The sequence below is a fragment of the Homo sapiens genome, chromosome 1 (assembly GCF_000001405.40).
Source record: "Homo sapiens chromosome 1, GRCh38.p14 Primary Assembly".
Lineage (NCBI taxonomy): Eukaryota > Metazoa > Chordata > Mammalia > Primates > Hominidae > Homo > Homo sapiens.
In genome coordinates this window covers 110,592,697-110,615,085 of record NC_000001.11, presented here as the reverse complement: position 1 = coordinate 110,615,085, position 22,389 = coordinate 110,592,697, and the positions used below count along the sequence as shown (strand labels likewise).

At 49.8% G+C, this 22,389-nt stretch overlaps 1 protein-coding gene across 6 annotated transcripts in view; it reads left to right on the top strand.

The window, feature by feature from the left end:
• KCNA2 (potassium voltage-gated channel subfamily A member 2) overlaps positions 1 to 21,506 on the top strand; it is a 37,861-nt gene extending 16,355 nt beyond the window's left edge. Inside the window, exons 2-5 of one of the 6 annotated variants that reach the window (NM_001204269.2) lie at positions 9,364 to 9,695; positions 10,141 to 11,197; positions 12,916 to 13,056; positions 21,158 to 21,506. In NM_001204269.2, coding sequence (NP_001191198.1) covers positions 10,304 to 11,197; positions 12,916 to 13,056; positions 21,158 to 21,193 — 1,071 coding nt within the window. In that variant the 5' untranslated portion in view covers positions 9,364 to 9,695; positions 10,141 to 10,303 and the 3' untranslated portion in view covers positions 21,194 to 21,506. Of the gene's footprint in view, positions 1 to 7,138; positions 7,217 to 7,702; positions 7,836 to 8,727; positions 8,859 to 9,363; positions 9,696 to 10,140 lie in introns of those variants that run through there. The other 5 variants (XM_011541400.3, XM_017001213.2, XM_011541396.3 and 2 more) reach the window with 5 other exon arrangements.

Below are 22,389 nucleotides of genomic sequence, written 5' to 3'. Positions count from 1 at the left end.
GGCCTCAGAGTCAAAGATTCCCTGTGTTCCCTTTGTAATGACCCTTCTTGGACTCAGAGAACATCATTAAGATGCACTGAGCATCAGGTTTGCACTGTTTGGAATGTTTGCAGGATTCGTTTTCAAAATGATTTGGCATCTTTGAAAGTCCTTTCTCCCTTTTAAACAGGCAGTGACATGTGTTGGGGTAACGGTTGATGTGGGGATCAGCAAAGTCTGGGCTGGAATCCCAGCTCTGCCACTTACTAGAGCCATGCAACCTTGAGCAGGTCCTATGACCTCTGAGCCTTGATGTCCTCTCAGCAAAATAGTGACAGTAGGAGGACCCATGGTGCCAGTGGAGATAAAGGAGGTATATGCATTCATCTGCTTAAGGCTCCCATTCCTCAGCCAGGTAAAGTTGAAGAACGAATCATAGAATAAGAAGTAGCCCAGCTTTCCCATTTTACAGATGAAGAAACTGGGGCCCAAAGAGGGGAAGTGACTTACAAGGTCACCTGGTAATAAAGTCAGGACAGAAACTGGCAGGCCAAGGGCCTTTCCATGATATCAACTTGCTTCTTGTTTTTCTGTTCTATTCCTCTTCTCTATTGACCAAAGGCCATAAAAGGGAGAGAAGAAGGACGTGGGGCTTAGAGTAACCTTCAGGCCCAGCTAATTCAGCCACATAACGCAGACACTAGGGAGTCAACCTGTGTTAGGCTACTTTTATGAAGCAAAAACAGTGATACTGTCTGCACTTCTGGGATAACTGGGCCACACTAGGGTCAAAGTGTTCTCCTCTGGAGACTTTGATACATGGCCCACTTTGAAGTTAGAAAACTTCCGAGGATGGCCAGGGTAGTGCAAGACCTCAAGCCACAGCATATAAGGAAGAGTTGAGGACCTGGGAATAATGACCTCAAAGAAGAGAAGCCATGGAGCTCCTCGCCACTGTTTTCAACTTTGTAAAGTGCTGATCTCTGCAAGGTGCAGGGGAGGGGAGGAAGAATTGCTCTCTATGGCCACAGGTGGGACGCCTGAGTGAAAGCTTCAAGAAGGATAATTCCAGGTCCACAAAAGGCAATTGAAAAGTTAGCTCTGTCCAAAGTTGGAATGATCCTTGGTAGGAGGCAATAAGCACGTGTGAGCAGAAGCTGGAAGACCACGGGTCCTTAGGAGAGCTTAAAGCACAGAGTGACTAGTGGACAGGACGAGGTCCAGCCCACAGTATACCCACTCTATGAGAACAGCACAGCAGGATGGATAGGAGCATGAATTCTGGAGCCACAGTGCCTGAGTTCAAACCGTGGTTCTTGCCTGGACTGGCTGGGTGACCCTGAACAAGATGCTTAAGCTCTCTATAAAATAGAGAGGGAGCCACCAGCTCTGGGAAACCCTCCTCCCTGCCCTGCTATCCTCTGATACAGGGGTTGCCTGGTGCATCCTCCTCCTGGTAGTAGTGACTGGTGCAAGGCTGGTCTTCCCTCTTGACCCCTCTCAGCCTCTTGGGCAGGAGTCAGAAATAGCCCCTGGCTGGCCCTGTGGCAACTCAAGTTTCTTCAGAAGTGAGGGCCCTCTAAGGACACCAAGTCTAGGGCTGAAAGGCAAGGAGAGGCAGTTAAGCTGTGGGCACCATAGAGGCTGTGCATCTGCTGGTGTTTGCTGGTTCACAAACACTGCCAGGGCAGCTTCTTTGTGCCCAGCCTGGAGCAGATACCAGTATGCAAGGGCAGAAGAGACATGGCCCTGCCCTCAGGGTGCTTCCACCTAGTGGAAGACTGCGTGCAGATGGACACAGGCCCCTCAGGACCTGGTGTGACAGGTCTGTGTCCGGAGCATATTGTTGGTGGGTGGAGACCAGGAAGAGGGTTAAGAAAGGCTTCGTGGAGGATGTGACATAAGTTGAGTGTCAGAAGAAGTCATTGAAGTGACAGGGAAGGAGGAAGGTAGGGCATTCTGGCCAGGGGGCTGCTGGAGTCAAAGCAGAAACACCTGGAGCCATCTGGAAGCTCACGTTTCTTGACACCTTCCTGGAAGTCACTGAGATAAATACCTTGTGCCCACTATCTCATTTAATCCTCAGAGCAAGCATTGGGCATTATTAATCCCATTTTACAGATTGGAACCTGAGACTCAGAGAGGAAAAACACCCCACCTAAGGTCATGTGAATGGCAAGCAGTGGAGGAGGGGCTCCACCCCAGGCCTGTCTGACTTCAAGTCTTAACCTGACCTGTCTGTTTTAAGCCAGTTAGAGCTTTCGAGGCAGTTTAATGTGATGCCAGTGTGGACTTCCAGGATGGAGGTTTAGAGGGAAGACAGGGGAACATCAGATCATGAAAGGCTTTGCTCGCTTTTTAGGAAATGCAGGTTGATCCTAGCAATAGGGCACCAATGAGTAGTTGAAGAGGTGATAGATCCTACCTGCACTTTAGTGGGGTCTCTATAGCAACTGTGGGGAGAAGAGACCAGAGGGGAACAAGTCTGAAGACAGGACCAACAGGGGTTGCAGTGACCCAGACTGTGCCTGCTGGTGGCTTGAACCAGGGCGGCGTGGGGAGGGAGAGGGAATCAGAGAGAAGCAAACAGACACCAAGGCCAAGTGATTGGCTGCATGTGGAGTGTGTCGGGTGAAGGAGGAAGAAGACAGTTGATAAGGACATCCAGGCTTCTGGTTTGGGCAACTGGGTGAATGTTGTTACCAGTGTGTTACAATCACCTACACTATTCAGCACAGTAACATGCTGTACAGGTTTGTAGCCTAGGGCAAAAGGCTCTACCATACAGCCTGGGTGTGTGGCAGGCTATGCCATCTACGTTTGTGTAAGTACACTCTACGATGTTTGCACAACGATGAGATCACCTGACACATTTCTCAGGATGTGTCTCCATCGTTAGGTGACGCGTGACTGTACTTCCACCACCTTGCTGTACTGCCTTTGAGTATTAGCAGCAGGGGGCCTCATGGTAAGACAACGAGCACACTGCTTGAACCAGAGCAGCAGCTCCAAACCATGAGGGAGGGACTACCCTCATTAGCCATTCCTTAACATGTTCTTTTATTTTATTTATTTATTTATTTGAGACAGGTTCTCACCCTGTCACCCAGACTGTCGTGCAGTGGTGCAATCTCAGCTCACTGCAACCTCCACCGCGCTGGGGCTCAGCTGATCCGCCTACCTAAGCCTCCTGAGTAGCTGGGTCTACAGGCATGCACCACCGTGCTGGCTAATTTTTGTATTTTTTGTAGAGATGGAGTTTCACCGTGTTGCCCAGGCTGTTCTCAAATTCCTGGGCTCAAACAATCCACTTTCCTCAACCTCCCAGAGTGTTAGAATTACAGGCATGGACCACTATACCCAGCCTTTTTTTTTTTTTTCAAGACAGGATCTTGCTCTGTCTGCCAGGCTGGAGTGCAGTGGCACAATCATGGCTCACTGCAGCCTCAAACTCCTGGGCTCAAATGATCCTCTCAACTTAGCCTCCCGAGTAGCTGGAACTACAGGGACATGCTATTATGCCCAGCTAATTAAAAAAAAAATTTTAGAGGTGGAGCCTTATGTTGCCTAGGCTGATATTGAATTCCTGGCCTCAAGCAATCCTCCCACCTCAGCCTCCCAAATTACTGGGATTATAGGCATGAGCCACCTTGTAATAAAAGAACATATTCTTTTATTTAGCCAGTATTGCGGTGGGATGAGTGTGTAGCAGCTCATTCAAGACAGGAGCCAAGGCCCAGGCCTCCATGAAGGGGCCCCTTAGAGGCAGCTGAAGTTAATCTGAGAAGCCTTCCTGCAGGAGGCTGACCTTGACTTTGGAGGTAAGTAGTGGGCTGGAGTGGAGGCCCATGCCACTTCCAAGGGAAGTTCTCAAATGTCAGGCAGATGCACAACACAACATCAGCAACAACAGTGACATTAACAGAGTCCTGTTCCACACTGACCAGGCTTTGCTTCTCCATGCACCTCCATGGGTATTATCCTCTGTAGTCCTAACCAATGAGATGTTAACACACACTAACAATGAAGGTCCCTTTCCTTCCTTCCTTCCTTCCTTCCTTCCTTCCTTCCTTCCTTCCTTCCTTCCTCATTCTGTCTTTAAGCCCTATGAAGCAAGGGGGTGGGCGGGGCTAGTGTCCTACCTATTTTATAAGTAAACTGCTACTCAGAAAGGTCAAGTGAGTGAGCTTGGGTCGCACAGACCACGGCCCTGGTCAGATGCCTTGCCTTGTCCTCCCCTTTGGGAGCCTTTGGGTCCTGACTCTTGCACCACCACTGCCTCAAGTCCCTCAGTTAAGGTATGAACAGTTAATCACCAGCACCAACTCCCTTCTAAACCAGATTGCCTGTGAGGTCAGGTTGCCTCCAGGAGAGACGACCCCTGGGGAATCTCTGTTCCTGAGACCAGAAATTGAGCCCAGAGGCCTGGCACTGAGCTAACAGTAAAAGTGGGCAGTAGAATGGCATGGTGACTTATAAAGTCACACAGTCTTGATCTGTTCCAGCCTCACTACTAACCAGCTAAATTACCTTGGTCCTCTCTGAGCTTCAGTATCTTCATCTGTAAAACAGAGACAATGATATCTTTCCCACTGGCTGGTTGCAAGGATTAAATCAAATGATCTCTGGAGGGCTGTCAGCCCAGTGTCCTCCTGCCCTGCCTACCTGTGAGTGAGTGGGGACTGTGCCAGCACATGGGTGGATGGGCTGGTGGGGAGCATCAAGCAGAGGCAGCAGTCATGCCAGGAAGGGGAGCTGGTTCCCTGGGAGTGACACCTGAGAAGATTCACAAATGGGAAGAACTAAGAGATTCTCCCTCCAGTCCCTCTGTGTGGGTGTGGGTGTGTATGCATACACAGTCATAAACTCTTCTTTTAAGATGACTGTAGTCACCAGTCACTCACTGTGACAGCCACCACAGCCCTTCCCTCTGCTGAAGGCAGGGCCTGGCTCTCAAGCAGGAAACCAAACCAAAGGGAAGGGAGTGGTCTTTGGGGATTTTCACCATGCCCCAGGGAAAGGATCAAAGGACACTCTGGCTGCTATTGTGTGGCCAAAAATAAGAAATGGAGCCCACCATAGAACTGGAAAGGGGGCTCAGTTAAGTTAGCTGGCTGTCCATTCTTTATAGCTAATTTTGTCCTTACTACCCTGTAAAGTAGCTTTGCTCTCCCATTCGACCAACTAGGAAACGAACAGTAGGAGGCTCAGAGAGTGTCAGTAACTTGCTCAAGTTCATACAGCTAGCAAGTGTTAGTGCCGGGAATACGGCCTGTGTTCTTTTCCTATACAGCACTGCCAAACCAAGGTACTGACAGACACTTTTCAGGGCAGAAGCCCTGAAATGTGCCTAAACAACTGTTATGATGGTTCTTTTTTTTCCCCCTTCTTTAGTTAATTTCTTTTTTTGTCATTGTTCACATTTAAGTTTAAAGGATAGAGACAGGACAACATACCCCTGAGGCCAAGTCACAAAATAGAAGCAGAGGTCAGAGGAAGATCTCAAAGAGGGAAATGAAATTCAAGAGCTGCTCATTCCACCTGCACAGTGTGGTGTGGGGGCTAAGGGCACATGTCCTAGAATCACAAAGACCTAATTCCAGTCCTAGAGTCACCATTTATTAACCTCAGGCAGGTGATTTCACCTCTCACTGCCTCCATTTCCTTTCCAATGAAATGGTACTAATGTATACATTGACTTCTAGGGCTGTGAGAATTAAATGTTGCCCTGGGTAAGAAGTGCTTAGCACAGGGTCTGACACATGGTAAGCCCATGTCACCAATTATGACGATTGATTTTCCTTCAAGGGCTTTTCTCTGTCCACAGCTTCTGTTTTCAAGAAGGAAGGCAAAGGAAATGTATACATATGATCAGATGGATAGAGTATCTGACTTTGGCCACACAGGATTATCTGACTTTAAATGACACGAGAACCCAGTGTGCCAAATAGGAGAAACAGAGCCCCTTGGTGCTGGTCAGGGGAGGCTTTCAGAAGGAGTATATAGGGAAGGGAACTGGAGGTCAATTTGGTAGAGGGGTGGGAATGGTGAGATCTCAAGGAAAGTAAAGGGCGGGGCAATCTGGGAAGCAGAGGGAATGGGGCAACAAGGACCTGGTGATTGGGAGCCTAGAGAAACACCCCAGAGCTAAGCTGGAAGCTAAGAGCTATGAGGAGAGTTTCACAAGGAAGCAGAGCAGCGAAATCATCATGCATTCAGTGTCTGCTGGATGCTAAACTCATTCAACAATTAAAACCTCACCACACCCTTAGGGGCATCCTGATTTTTCAGAGGAGGGCACTGGTGCCCAGAGAAGTGAAATAACTTATCTAGTAACTGTTAGGGAGTTACGTTTCCATCTGACTGCCTCCAAAACACCCAAGCCGTTCACTGACTGGGACACTAACAGGCCAGGTTCAAGGTGCTCTAAACCATACCAGCCCTTCTCTATAGTCATCTGTCATCCTTTGGGCCCACGGAGGTCACTGCCCTCCCAGACCACCCCCTGCAGCTCTAGGCAGGCTCCCAGTCTTCAACCACACCTCACAGACTACCACGATGAAACGCCAGAATCCGGAGTCCCGCTTCATGGGCTTTCAGGGCTCTCCCCACGAGGTACACGCATAGAGAGGAGGGTTTCCCGGCCGGAGGGTAGGGGGGAGGGCCCAGTGGGGACTTCCTGGTGCTAGAGCCCATCTGAATCCAGAGCTCCGTGTCTACCGCAGTCTTATCTCAAGGAACCACCACTGTTTGGCACACCTGTCTAGGTGACCCTGACAGGGACCTGGAGAACAGAACTAGCAGGGGCTTGAGGCTGTCGTCTGCCTCCCAAAAGCACCCTGGACCTTCTCGGATGCCCTATCTAGGCAGAAAGTAGGCTGTGCCTCCCACACACATTTCCCGAAAGCAAAGGGCATCCTCGTCTGCCCACCTAGGGTGCTGTAAGCTGCACTCCTAAGTTCAGAGCCCTGTGGGCCACCTGGCTTTGCAAGTTCTGCCAGAGGGCCCGTTTTGTGAGTAGCTGACCATTCCCAAGGGCAGCGGCGTGTCCCCCAGCCTTCCCTGCCCGGGCCCTGGGGGAGGGAGTCGGGGAGTGGAGAGGGCCAGCCCTGCAGTGCTGCCTGTTCCTGCGGCTCCTCTCGGTGGGGGCGAACACAGCAGAAGAGTTTCTGCCACACTGCGGACCGCACCTGCTGCATTTCCCTGCGAAGCCAAATCTTTGCTGGGTAACAGGGAGGTGGGAAGCCGATCTGGAGAAGGGGTCGCGCTGGCGGGAGAAAGGGCAAGAAAGGGGTCTGCAGATCCTGTCTGGAGGCACCACAATAATAGCAACACGTCTCTCCCGGGGCTGGATCCCGCTGTGGGCCTGGGGTAGCTGCTATTGATTATCTCCTCCTTGCCTACTTCATTACGTTGGCAGGAGCCTCTCACCAGTGCCCCTCAACTTCTGCCCTCCCCCATCTCCCCGGCCCGGCAGCACCCAGCTGAGCTCTCCTGGAGGTTCTGGTTAGTAAGTCGGGCTCTGCCAAAGAATGTTTTCCTCGCGGGGCGGGGGCTGAGGCCCGGGGGCCCAACGAGGTGACGAGCTCGGTGGCGGCGGAGGGCAGCTTGTCGCCCCGGCCCCGGCCCCGGCCCCCGCCGGCCCCTTTAATTCGAGTTCGCCGTCGAGCCAGGTGCGGCGCTGCGTGGCGCGGTGCGGCTGCGGGCGGCGGCCGGGAGCTCCGTACGCGCCGCCCGCGGGACTGCAGAGCCGGCTCCCGGCTGGCCGCCCGCACCCCGCCGCCGCCCGCTGCCGGGGTTCTGCCGGCGCTGGCCGTAACCTAGGAACATGGAGGCCCCGGTGCCCATCCGGAAGGGTAAATCCGTGTCGGGGCGTTGCGCGGCGCGTGCTGCCTTCCCTGCCCGGCTGCGGCGCCCAGAGGGGCTGCGGGGCACCCGGCGGCGCAGCCTGCAGCGCAGCAGGCTTGGGCTGAGTCCGCGGCGGCAAGCCCTTGCCGACCACTGCCGTCTGCTCGGCAGGTCCCAGACCGGGGAGATCAAGGGGAACTTGCACCCTGCTCAAGAAGAGTGCACAGAATGGGCTCGGGACCCTCTGGGGTTTGCGTGGCGCGGGGCGGAGGGCACGGAGAGGAGCTGGTGGGTGGTGGGAAGTGCAGCTGGCAGCATAACCATGTCTGGTAAATAGCGCGGGTTGGTAGGACCTGAACCACTTGGGACGGCCGGGCTGCATTCGCCTCTTCGGCACAGAATAACAAACGGCTTTGCTGCAGAGAGGGCTTTCCCCTTCGCTGGGGCCGTGGGCTGCCGCCGAGCCCCCGCGCTTAAAAGGAAGCTGAGATCTGGGGCGGCAGCCTGGCGCAGGCTACTCCCCACCCCCAGAGATCAGGTTCCGGGATTTTGGGTTGGACACTGAGCCTCGGCGGTCCCTCGGCTGGACGCCGGGGGCTTAAGAGCTGAACTGCGCTTGGGCCCGCAGCAGGAGCCGACCGCGCGGGCAGGAGGGGGTTAAGGTGGCGCTAGCGGCCGCGGCCAGCGGGAGGGTCTGGTCCTCTGCGCGGAGGCGAGCGCTGAGTGCGCCGAACGGAATCCCGGCCGGAGCCCGGGGCGATGGGGAGAGGGCCCAGACCCCTCCCCGCCCTGGGGCCGGCGGGATTGGGTCGGCAGGGGGCCAGTCCGGAAGCCGGCTTCCTCCAGGCTCCCCCTCTCGCTGCTGCCAAGCCGCCTCGCAGCTAGGCAGGCGGAGCGTTTATTCTGTGCTCCCTGCCGAGGAGATGTGAGGGATTTTCTCTTGGGGGAGAAATCAGTGGTCGAGCGCCTGCCCAGCTCAAATGCCACCCGGCTCAGAGGGAGGCCTGCGGCCCAGGGATCCCGGAGGGAGAGTAAGTTCATCCAGTTTTCGTACAGTGCAGACTTTGTTGTGTGGGGTCTCCCTAGATGCGCTCTGAAGGAGTGTGTGTGCTGGGGGGTGGGGTGCTTCTTTTCCAGGACTGGCTGAGGTCAGAGCTTGTAGACAGGCTGCAGTGAGCTAAGCCCTCCTCTTGGGAGCTGCTGTGTCCTGACATGTGGGGGTAGGAGTGCTTCTTCCAGAGTCCTTCCTGAGAGCAGCTGGGGACTAGCAACCTGGATCAACCCAGGGAGGCCCCTGGAGAAGGCAGGCCCAGCCAAGCCTGAGTCTTGCTCCCTGGGAGAAAATGCTTCAAGCTGATGGGAAGCCTGCCCAGAAGAGGCAAGGAGGCTGAGGGATAGTCCTCAGGCCTGGCATCAGAATAGAGGATGGGCATGGGGGCCTGTTACCTCCCATGAGGGAAGCTGCCAGACCCTCCTAAATCTTGGCACCAGCTGGTTCAAATGCCCTGGTTCCACCTTGCTGCTGTTTTTTTCCAGGCAACGTCACACCTCCTGAGGACAGCCAGGACTCCAGCTTTTGCTGAGCTTTGCATCTTGCCTCCTTCCTTCAAAAGGCTCCAGGCCCATGCTCGGCTGTCTTCAAGTCCCGCATGCCCCTGGCCAGGCACCTCACCGCCCCTCCAGCCCAGCCCAATCCTAGAGCTCACCTCCAGGACCCAGAGTCTGCCCTTCTGCCCAGAATGACTCACCATTATTTCTAGCTCGAGTGAGAAGACGTGATGAGGAGTTGGGCTGCCTGTTGGTGCATCTCAGATTCCTGCAGCATCTGATCAGCTCTGCAAGGAAGAGAGCTTCACGTCTCTGGTCAGGTAAATCAATCTATCATTTAATAACAGCCTTGTGTAGAATCACTGGGGTGGAGGCCAATGAGAAAGACCCAGGCCCAAGCTCCCCAACCATGAATACCTCCCTGGGTATGAGTATCTGAGACATTAGTGCAGCACCTGGGAGAGGGTCCACTTTTAACCTATTAGCATGGGGTTATGCTCCATGAAGCCTGTGTGCTACAAGCGGGCCTGTACCAGCCACCTTCCCCCAATGCAGGGCATTCCAGAGGTTCCTGGAGAGATTGCTACCTGCTCCCCCTGATCCCCAGACAAGTTACAAGGTGAAAGTAAATTTTGCTTTGTCGTTGTGGTGGTGGTGATCATGTGTCTGAACTCTTGGCTGAGAGATGGGAGACAAAAAGTGGCAACCCAGGTCAGGCTGCCAATGCTGAGTAGCCTCATGTCAATAACTGCCTCTGTCTTTCAGCCAAGCGAGGCTGTCTCTCCAGCTCTCAGAGAGCTCTCGGGGCTCTCCTGCAGGAGACCAGGCCAATGCTCCTGTGCTTCCTGGGGCCAGTAGCAGCACCCTGAGCTCCCTGCCACCAGGCAGCTGAAAGGCATAGCGTGAGGTGCTTCTCTCAGTCCCAATTATGACAGTGGCCACCGGAGACCCAGCAGACGAGGCTGCTGCCCTCCCTGGGCACCCACAGGACACCTATGACCCAGAGGCAGACCACGAGTGCTGTGAGAGGGTGGTGATCAACATCTCAGGGCTGCGGTTTGAGACCCAGCTAAAGACCTTAGCCCAGTTTCCAGAGACCCTCTTAGGGGACCCAAAGAAACGAATGAGGTACTTTGACCCCCTCCGAAATGAGTACTTTTTCGATCGGAACCGCCCTAGCTTTGATGCCATTTTGTACTACTACCAGTCAGGGGGCCGATTGAGGCGACCTGTGAATGTGCCCTTAGATATATTCTCTGAAGAAATTCGGTTTTATGAGCTGGGAGAAGAAGCGATGGAGATGTTTCGGGAAGATGAAGGCTACATCAAGGAGGAAGAGCGTCCTCTGCCTGAAAATGAGTTTCAGAGACAAGTGTGGCTTCTCTTTGAATACCCAGAGAGCTCAGGGCCTGCCAGGATTATAGCTATTGTGTCTGTCATGGTGATTCTGATCTCAATTGTCAGCTTCTGTCTGGAAACATTGCCCATCTTCCGGGATGAGAATGAAGACATGCATGGTAGTGGGGTGACCTTCCACACCTATTCCAACAGCACCATCGGGTACCAGCAGTCCACTTCCTTCACAGACCCTTTCTTCATTGTAGAGACACTCTGCATCATCTGGTTCTCCTTTGAATTCTTGGTGAGGTTCTTTGCCTGTCCCAGCAAAGCCGGCTTCTTCACCAACATCATGAACATCATTGACATTGTGGCCATCATCCCCTACTTCATCACCCTGGGGACAGAGTTGGCTGAGAAGCCAGAGGACGCTCAGCAAGGCCAGCAGGCCATGTCACTGGCCATCCTCCGTGTCATCCGGTTGGTAAGAGTCTTTAGGATTTTCAAGTTGTCCAGACACTCCAAAGGTCTCCAGATTCTAGGTCAGACCCTCAAAGCCAGCATGAGAGAATTGGGCCTCCTGATATTCTTTCTCTTCATAGGGGTCATCCTTTTCTCTAGTGCTGTGTATTTTGCAGAGGCCGATGAGCGAGAGTCCCAGTTCCCCAGCATCCCAGATGCCTTCTGGTGGGCAGTCGTCTCCATGACAACTGTAGGCTATGGAGACATGGTTCCGACTACCATTGGGGGAAAGATAGTGGGTTCCCTATGTGCGATTGCAGGTGTGTTAACTATTGCCTTACCGGTCCCTGTCATTGTGTCCAATTTCAACTACTTCTACCACCGGGAGACAGAGGGAGAGGAACAGGCCCAATACTTGCAAGTGACAAGCTGTCCAAAGATCCCATCCTCCCCTGACCTAAAGAAAAGTAGAAGTGCCTCTACCATTAGTAAGTCTGATTACATGGAGATCCAGGAGGGTGTAAATAACAGTAATGAGGACTTTAGAGAGGAAAACTTGAAAACAGCCAACTGTACCTTGGCTAACACAAACTATGTGAATATTACCAAAATGTTAACTGATGTCTGATTGAAACCTATTACCGTACTCACAGCTCAATGGAACTAATGCAGATGTTGCATAATAGCCTGCATTGTAGTCAGTGTGTTCTACAGTGTGTATCTGGTTCTGCATGGAAAGCAATAGTTGTGCAAGTGACTTTTGATCTTTTGACTTTTGATTTAGAACACAGAATATCTATCATGGCTTTCATGCACATCCTCATCACCGGCTTATGAACTTCCAAAGACGGGAGTCACCTATCAAGCTAGGATTTCAGATAGACACGTTGAGGCCACCTCATATCCCATACACAGTGCACCATATCAGTGCCATCATTCCTTCCTAATGAAATGCACACAACATCCAAGAGATGCACTCCCCTCCCCACCATCCCACCACCTTATTTGAGCCCACCTGCCCTTTCACAGAGGAACACAATCATGGCTTAGCTTTAAATAGCTGGTGTTTGTTCAAAAGGTCATACTCATTTTTGCATTGAAAAGAACACACAGTCCTGTGTGTTGGAATTACTTTCTGTGTCACAGGCTGGAGTTTGTGAATTGCAGTTGCCAAGTAGATGCTCTGGAGGCTTGTGTTTCATAACGGAAAATGCTGCATTCTGCTTTTTCTCTGCAGTGTCGATGTGAGGGAAGCCCGGGGGAGGGACAGTTAGTATGACCGAATATGAGTTGTCAAGTTTCACATTTGTTCCCTTAGGCCTATGGGGAGAAGCTAACAAACCAACAGACCTCTAAGCCTCTGATTTCACCATTTTTGCAGGCTCCAGGGTCACAAAAACATGTCTGGTTTCTTACTGGAGTTTGCAGACATCTGCTTTCCCACTGATGTGGCCCAGCTACACTGACACTGCAGTGAAATTTACCAGTGATGCAATAGAGCTGCATGGGTGTTTGTTGCATGAATCTCAATATTTAAAACACAGGAGATAACCTATTTTCCTAGTAGCCTACACAGTGTTAATATTTAGAGTATTAATAGGCTTGGAATGGTCTTGAACTAGGGGTTTTTTTCCCATCAGAAGGCAAAAATCCCTCCATCAGGGGAAAAAAAATAGACTATTTGGAATGGAACTAAAACTTCTGGCCCCCCAGCCTACCTATCCCTGTTCTTCTAAACAGGAACGCAGACCTCTGCAAAGCCAGAAGAGTAAGCGGGGAAGGCAGCATCTGAACACCTCACATGACTGCACCTTAGGAATTAACCTAGTCGCGGGCATGACTGTACAGTGGACCAGGGCATCTGGTCCTGATGACAGGCAGGTCTGTGGATCCAGTGTATATAAATATATATCGAGTATCTCTCTTTCACGCGTTCCTCTACCTAGCTAGTGATAGAAAAGAAATTGCATTTGAACATTGTACAAGCTTATGCAATATTTTTGACAAAGGGCAATTTATGCATGTGTTTGACTATGTGCACTAGGGTGTATATATATACATACATATGTGTGTATATGTATACACACACACACACACACACACACACACACACACATATATATATATATATATTCATTTTCTGGAGTTCAGGTTCAGGAGCAAATCCACTGCTTGGTGGGTTGGCTGTCTAAGAGGCCTAATGGGTTAATTTGTCTCATTGGTAACCCCACTGGGCCTGGGTTTGCTGCCATTGCCTCAGACACTCCGGTATCCATGGATTCCTAGACGTTAGAATTGTCTTTCTGCCCTCCATGTGCTGCAGCTTCAGTTCCCATGGCTGAAGCTTGTCTTACTGAGTGCACAAGGGCCCTGTGGCCCTCACAGTTCCAGCTGTCCTGGGCCAGACCCACCCCGGGCCTCCTCTCTACAGTTCATCCTGTTCATCATCTCCATTTTCACCTCTTCCCTTGCCACTTGGATCTTATTATCATTTGGCTCTGCATCCGTCACTTTCACAAACCTTTCGCTAAAGAGCCAGAATGGATCCCCTGCTTTGAAACCAAGGACACCAAGGAGTAGGACTCCCTGGGACCAAATTCCACTGATCTGGACCTAAAGGGAGCCTCCTCTATGTGGAAATGTCTGAAGTCCGGGACTAAGTGATGGAGTCCCTAGATGATCCAAAGGCATCATTTTGATCTCCAGACCCAAACTCTCTCCCCATTAAACTGGCAACCAGAGCTGCTTTTTAAAAAGAACCAAAGGATGGGTAAAGAATCATTTCCCACCCCCCAGAAGAAGTAGAGTGCAAATGAGCACTGCACAGCCTAAAGGTAGACAGTAGGTTGACCCTGAAATGGCTTCAGGTAGGGGGCTTTTAACTCACCAGACTGGGCGTCTTTGCCTTTTGACGGAGTAGCTTAATTTTCCCAAACAGTGAATTGCAGGGGTCGGGCTATGCAGGGGTGGCTCCAGCCCAGGCCTCACTGCTGCCTAGTTAGCACCTACAGTTGTCTTGGGGCATGGGGCACCAGCTCAGGGTGCTAGGCCCAGGGTGCTCATTAGTGCCTGGTCACCCACATCCCCAGGTATCTGCAGGGCATCCCATGCCCAGCACAAAGCCTCTGTGCTTCTCTTCCTCTCCTTCATGGGAGGTGGTGCTGAATTTCCAAGGCATGGGGTGGGAGGGACACAGATCTTTGGAAAATAGAAGGTAAAGCAACCCATATCTGAGGCCTAGGTCAGGGATAGATATCTTATCACAGTGTCCTTGGCCCAGGACTCTAAAATGTTCACATACAGTCATGCACATTCACCACAAAATAGGTACACTGTTGTCACACACAAACATAAAACATGTAACGTGCAAAATACAGACAGACCAGGTTAACATAAAAGCAAACACAGAAGATATATGGTTATAATTGTATATAAAATGCACACTCTGCACAGATATAGAATTTACACAGAACATACACAAAAGACAAACATACACCACATACAAATATACAACCTGAAACTCAGATGCAAAATACATAAAAAACTACATGGACAAAATGCATATGCATATAAGATACACAAAGGCTACTTTACCATTGTTTCTACACATAAAATACACACAAACTCAGTATATACACACGATGCATTAACTTATAATAGGCATACAAGATACATAGCACACATGCCCAAAAATATCGCACAATACACATGAAATGCAGACATATACTCAGACCCATTGCCCTGCCCCCAGAGCTATGAATTAACAGGCACAAACAAAAGATCAGATGTAATCACCTTTGCCTGGCCTGTGTCTATATCCCCCAGGATCTTTCAAGGAATCTCTTTCTCTATTCTTTTCTCTCACTACCAGATTTCACTCCTGAGAAGTAACTCCTAGGTTTCAAGCAGGAGGATGGGCCACCACATCAAGCAGATATCTGACTAAGACCAGGAATTGCATGGGGTCTCTACCAATTCACCTTCCTCCCACCAGAAACCTGGGTGCAGGGTGTGAAAGTACCTGGGACAGCTGGTAGCCTAATATAGGCCTCCTTGCCATGACCCTTCCTTCCTTCCAGCAAATCCGCACAGACAACCCAATAGCCCAGGCTCCCCTTCTCCCAGCACCTGGGATCTCCAGATTCAGCCCTATTCTCTTAAAAGCAGTAATGGCTCAAGAAACTGCAGGATCTTGAGCCCAGGACCAGGGTAAAGATGTCCCCAACATTCTCTAAGCCCACAGATTTTATTGCCCTTCCATCCTTTGCAGCTTTGTTGGGGGCACGGTCAGGAAGTTGAGACCCTATAGAGACCTGTCTCTTAAAATGAGCCACCTTTACTTGCTTGTGGCATTTCACTTGCTCTTGTGCATAAGCCCAAAGGGGCCAACTCCTGATTCCCCTCTGGGTGTGTTCAATCCCGGGCACGCTCTTCCTTTTCCTCTTGTTGGGCTCCCCTGGATGCCCTGCCTCCCATCCAATTGCTATGCAACCCAGTTCAGCTTAAGTAAAAAGTGATTAAGAACATACATCTAAGGCTAAGCAAGCTAACACTTTTTAGAGGGCCTGACTTTATCCTATATTCTAAGGCCATATTTAAATACTTTCTAAGATTACCCACCATTTTGGATTACTCTTGGAGCTGGTTCTTCCCCTAAGTAGGACTAGCTGAGAGCTGAGTGCATTTTAGCAAAGGCTTCACCTACATCGGAAGTAAAGAGTTGCAGTCAGGCTTTGGATCAGGCCTCACTCCTGATTTCTGCTCCTGCAGCCATCCCGTTGTGTCTCACTCTCCCTTCCAGTGATGGTCGCAGCTCCCAGTCTCTACAGAAAAGGTAACAACAGTAGGGAGTGGACATATGGGTCCAAAACGTGTGCTTTGCTGGAAACTTGTGTTTCCAGGTCAAGGTACCATTCCTGTTGGCTTCATCAAGTGCCTCTGTGGATTCATTTTCAAGAAACTTGGAGTTTTCAGGAGACCGAAAAGGAATAGGCCCAGGAAAGGTGGAGAGATTGTCAGGAAGAGAGAGTGGCTGAGTGGGTCAAATTTCAGAGTAAACTTTTTAGGAGCCAACATTTAATTAAGAAAATAATTAAGGCTCTGTGCTTTCTGAAACTTCAGTAATATTTGACATGCTCTCTTCCTTCTTCTCTGCTTGCCTCTGTCCCTCTCACCTGTGTTTCTGAGGCTAGTGTTGGCATGTCACCATGAGGTTAGCCTTTTAAAAGGGGCCCCACGGGAGTGTGCCTCTAGATTGCGTTAGCCTAGTATGGAAAGGGCTCCCATGGAAGCTATGATGGCCTGAGACCCCAGCCTGGGTGTTCATGTTGCTGCTCCGTGTTGGGAGGGCCCAGGACTAGCTTGTTCTACCTATTCTTCCTGGATCTCTCACTATATTATAGTGAGGACTCTATCAGTATCAACCCATGTGGAGAGAGGACAGCACCCTCTGAAGCTCCTCAGGCTGGGGATTCAGCACTGCCCACAGTAGTAGAGTCACAGAGGCTGACTCCCCCCTAAGGAAACTATAGAACAGTGTGCAAATTGCATATGAAGGTGGCACCACTACCCCTATGTCAGGCAGGGGAGCACAGTGCTTTGACTTGTTTACTCAAGAGAGGGGATGATGGTGCTGAGCTCTGCTCCCCAGAGCTTTCCTGGGGCCCATTGTCATAATAACTTGTATGTGGGTGATGGCCGCCTCATCTGCGAGGGCTATAATATCCATGGTGCTCCTTGGTTGCACAATGGAGGTTCCCCTAGCCTTGGCAAGGTATCCATTGCCGGGTTTGAACTCATGACCTTAACCTCATTAACATCATCAGTCACCTGAGCCAACGCGCAGAGAGGGGGATGCTGGGAGCTCTCTCAGTAGCTATTGTGACCATCATCTATATCTTCAGACTTAGCCCTTGTTGAGTCCAACCCTGTTCCCCTATCAAAGCAACCAGCAGGGACAGATGGAGGTAGGGGCTCCCCTACATGCAGGAAGGTTCTCTTCCTCAAACTAACCTAGTTTACTTTTCCTTTTTTTCTGCTTCCCTTCCCACCAAATCTCAGCTTCATCTCTCATAGTTTGTGTTTGAATATTTTTAAAGAGGAAAAGTGCAATAAAATAAATAGTGACTGTTTTCTTTAGCAATAGCTCTTTCAAAATCTTGCTCTCAGGACTGAAAAGTGATAGATAGTACCTGGATTATCAGATAATGCCCTTGACTTCTGGGGGCTCATTCACAGTCTCTGTAGTTTCTTCTTCTTCCCACGTGTTCACATGACTCCTGTCCTCTTGAGATCTGACCTCCTTCTGGAATGGACACATATGCTAAGATGCAGTGTATGCACAAGGAAGGCCTGTGAGAGGGCTTTGTCACTTTGTCTCCTTCCTGTGTGCACCTCTCTGTCTCCATGTGTGTCTCTGTCCCCTCTCCCTCTGTCTCCCCATTTCTGCCTGCTGTCATACAGCATCCTTACAACCTCTAGGCATGAAAATCCTAAGTTTGTGTGACCTTTTCAGCCCATTTTGTTGACTTTCCCTCAGTCTGGCAGATGTAATGGAAGCCTACACGAAAGCACTTCCCAATAGATAAGAATAAAGCATCCTGAGCCATTACAGAAGATCATTTCCATGCACTAAAAGCCATTACTTGATCCTTTTGCTTCCCCTTCTCCCTTCCCCAGGGAGACGGATGCTGAGGGAATGTGGCCTGGAGGTTTGCACTTGGGATCAGTAGCCTGGGCAGATTTGGGAATTGCCCTCTGACTCTCTTTCAAAATAAGCTGACTTGCTCAACCAAAGGGACTCCGTGAGAGCTGCAGAAGGAAGCAGGTTCTTGTGGGTTTCAGTAGAAGTCTACAGGGATAGAAGTTTGGGTGGTTAGGGCATGACATTAGTGAAATAAAGACTCTACCACCCGCTAGAGTGTGCAGCTGCACAAATATTTGCACACATAGCCAGGGGCTTCAGAAGAGTCCCCTTTCCTAACATCTGTGAGCTTAAATGTTCAGACTGGACAATCAGGGAAGGCTGGCAACCCCAGGGTCCCATTCCATCCTTTTTTGATCTACCTTGCTCTATACACATATGTACAGCAAAACCTCAGTTAACTGATGGGGAAACCTCAGGGACAGGAACATCCTGATTGCTTTGCAATTTTGGTTATTTGAGTGGGAATGGGAAAGCATGTCTGGTTCAACCTTTGTTATTGAGAAAAATATTTCCTAAGTAGGTTAGCATAACTTTCCTGCCTTAGTTAAGTAGAGTGTTTGAAGATAACAGGGACCTTGCCTTGCTCAGGGTCAACATTGTAAACCTCAATGCTTATTGTACAGTAGTGGACATAGGTAGAGAAGACCAAAGAGACAGGCTGAATGGCTGCTGGCTACAAGACAGGCCTGGAAATGGGCCACTGGGGCACATCCTGGCTCATCGGAGCCCTTGCTGTCATTTGCCTCTTTCTACTGAAAGGATAGTAAGAAAACATAATTCTTGTCAATCGAGGTTTTGGTTAATTGGTCCTGAGTTTTTAGAGGTTTTCCATATATACATATATTTATGTGTGTATATATATATATATAGTATATGTATATATGTATACTATTTTTAAATTATAGAATTATACATTGACCAATCTCCTTAGTTTCACTTATGTGGAATAAATTTGGCAATCCAAGGAATAAACTGCATTTATGTGCATTTTTTGAATGACCTCCTTTGCATTCTTTTCACCTCTCCAGTTCTACTCTTTTTTTTTCTGCTTAGGGACCTCTCTAGAAGGCAGATCTTTCATAAAAAAAGAACAGGCTACAGGATCACCTCTTTCCTTTCCCTCCCAGGTGGCTGCCTGACTCAGGGATAAAAGGGAAGTCTGATCTAACAGCCAGGTGCTTTAGCCTTTCTTCTGTCTGCCCTGGTTGGCTATAACCTCATCACTGAGGATCAGAAAAGTTATTCCAAACTTTGTACTCGAGGGGAGTGGAAAGCTTGAAGACCTGGCAAAGGATTTATCTATTTAGCATTCTCTTTGTCATTGGTGGTGCCCTAGGTTTGAGGTTTGTGAGATCTGAAAGTAACATTCCAATGAAGAACTAAAGCACATCTCTGCCACACAGAAGGTGAGGTTTGTGGCAATCAATGGAACTAACAAATCCATTCTGTTTTTTATTATGACTAAACCTAAGTTGAGGGTGTGGGTATTAGAGCAGCTGAAATTCAGTTGCCTCTTTGGGGGTAAGCTGTACACATCACTCAAGAAACAGCTGGATGCAAGCTAAAACCTGCTCTCATTCTCCCTCTTGCCTGCTAGTGTGTTAGATCCATGGAAGACAGTTTCTCTCAGCCTCACCTCTTGCATTTGACTGTTGCTTTCTACCTAGATGGGAGTGGGAGGGATTTTTCACTGTATCTGGAGCAATTGAAGTGGTGCAGGGGTGTCTGCCATCTCCCCACACCCACAGAAGCCCTCCAGTCTGGCTATGTTAGTTGTGATCAGGCAGCAGAAGCCCATAACCCAGACTTGACATGACCAGCTGGTGCACTGAGGCAGTTGAGGTGGCCTGTCTGGATGGCTACTTCTTGTACTTCATGAACCTCAGCATGGAAATGGATATAACTTTCTGTGCTCCTCTGCACTCCTAAAATAGTCTAATATGTTCCAGATGAGTTTGCAGCTGAGAACTCCCTGCATCATTCCACTGATGGATGCACAGGGCATGATTATGTAATAATGTGGACAGCTACTGCAACATCTAGATCATTGAGGGCAGTGTAGATGTGGCTGTGTGCTAGGACCCTTGGTAGCTATCCAGAGGACTCAGTCTGGTGTCTTTCTGAGTCTCTGTGAGAGGCCTCTAAGCCCTGCTTCTCCTTGAAAATGATTCCCTAGACACCGAATGCCTTGTTTGTATGAGTGAATAAATGCTCTGGGCTGCTAGAGAAAGCAATAGGAGGAGCTGGGAGGAAGAGAATATTCAGGGGCGCACTTTGCTACCAAACAATTTCCATGTCAGCTGCTAACATTACTGCCTTTTTAGCCTATGAAGTGTAGGGCAAGGACTTTGACCTGCCAGGTGGGGCTGGAAAGGAGCACATCAGCTCCAGGCTAAGAAATGGGATAGAAAAGCAAGAAGAGAGGCCTGGCTGGCTTTGGCGGGGGTGAGTCTCAGCTCCTGAGGGTTTGAACATGCTCTGTGCTTGCCCCAGTTCTGCCTTCACGTGGGATCCAGCGACCCAGTTTCCTTTTGTTGTCGTGCTTGGATGGTTCCTTCATTTGAAGGGCCCCAGGAAGCTGGAAAGTCCCATGATCAAGCTCTAGCCTGCTGAGCAAACAATACCCCAGCCAAATTGGCCTCTTCCTGGTTTTCTGCATCCCTGCACCCCTCTCTCCACTAAGGATAATCTTGGAACAGTTGCGATTAATGGTGCCAGCAATCAAGGAAGATTCTCTAGTTTTCATCAGGGACATAGCTGTAAAGCTCATGAGTGGAGGATGCTATTTCCTTTTCCAGACCTGTGTGCTTATGTGCTTATATAGGCTGCCTCTGGAGACTTTATATTGTGTGTGATGTGTGTGTATATATATATACACACACATATATATATATATGTATATATATATATAGAGAGAGAGAGAGAGAGGAAATGGCCGCCACTCACTTAGGCTCATGCAGCACAGACTCCAGTTAGGGTTTGCACTGGCTTCCTTGCTGCTTGTGCATGAATCTTCAGCTGCCCTCCCATGTCCTGTCTCTAATAATTGCTGAAAACTCAAAGAGGTAGATAAATAAGCCTCCTTGGGATCAATAGCAGAAGGAACTCCAAGGCTGATGGTAAAGCTTCGTAAGGATGATGCCGAAAGGGAACTGGGGTCTCCATGGTGATAAGAGGCTGGGGACCAATGAGAGCTGAAGGCGGAGCAGGACTTGCGGGGAAGACTCATGGGAGTTGGGAGTCATTTAACTATTTGTTTGCTTCTTGAAAATTTAGACACCAGCTGTAACTACATTGCACAGGATGTATTGATATTATCATTCTTGCTGACATATTCTGGAAGCTTTCAGCCCCACCAACACTGCCCCACCCAGGACTTCTGCAGCTGAGAGTTCCTGTGTCAGTAGGGTCTGATATTTGTACATAGGTTATACATATATGTGTACATATGTGCCTCAATGAACATTGCCTGTCCACCTGATCATGGGTGTACATAGACTTCATAGAGCTCCACAGTCTTTTGTAAATATTGACACAAGTAAATAAGTATATAAATATATATTACTGGGGATTTATTTTAACATCATTCTGTGTGATATGAAAAAAATAAAATTTTTGACAGACACTGATGGTTTTCACTTGTTTCTTGCCTGCTGGGATTATCATCCCTACAACATGCAAGTGTGCTTGCCTCACTCTCAGCCTAGTTTCTGTGGCCATGAGGGTCCAGGCAGAGACCAGGCAGGATGGGAGAGGGTCCTCCTGGATGCATTGGGTATCATCTTGGTGTGTGCCTGCCTGCCCTTGACTGGGAGCCCTGCGCAGACGAGGCAGAGTATGTGGATGGGAGGGTGGGTGGGTGCGTTTGAGATCTCCCCAATTACATCAACACTTCCTGTATCTTCCATGGAGCTGGAGGATGTGTGGGGGCGGGGTACCCAGTTTGAAGACCAAACACAGTCTGGGAATCATTTAAATGCAGCCGCACCCACATTTGCAGGCCTTGTCCTCAAACCCACCCCCACCTCTGCCCATTACTGCTGGCCCAGGGGTCTGGACCAACCGTGCTGTCCACTCTCAAGTGAGGAGAATGTCTATCTTGGCCTCCTGAGATGGAGACACAGCAGCACCTTCGTGGAGAAGGTCCTAACACACACACACACACACACACACACACACACACAGACACTGCTGAGGCACATCTATGTGATTTCCTCTGAGGGCTAATCTAGTCCTGAACTCCTGCAAATTTAGAAGGCTCAAAAGAGGCCATGGTGTGGAGTATGAGCACAGGGAAGTCGGTGCCTCAGCCACTAGCAGGCACATCCCACCCCTGACCACCCCCCTACTCCAAACACCCAAATACCCAGGTATCTTATTAAAGATATTTAGTTTTACCCCTTCACAATCTACCATGCTCTGCCCCTAGGAAAACTGACCAGCCAAAGCAGCTGGGCTCCCCACCCTCACCTCACCTTCAGAAGGATGTGTTTCTGGGTGCAGGTACT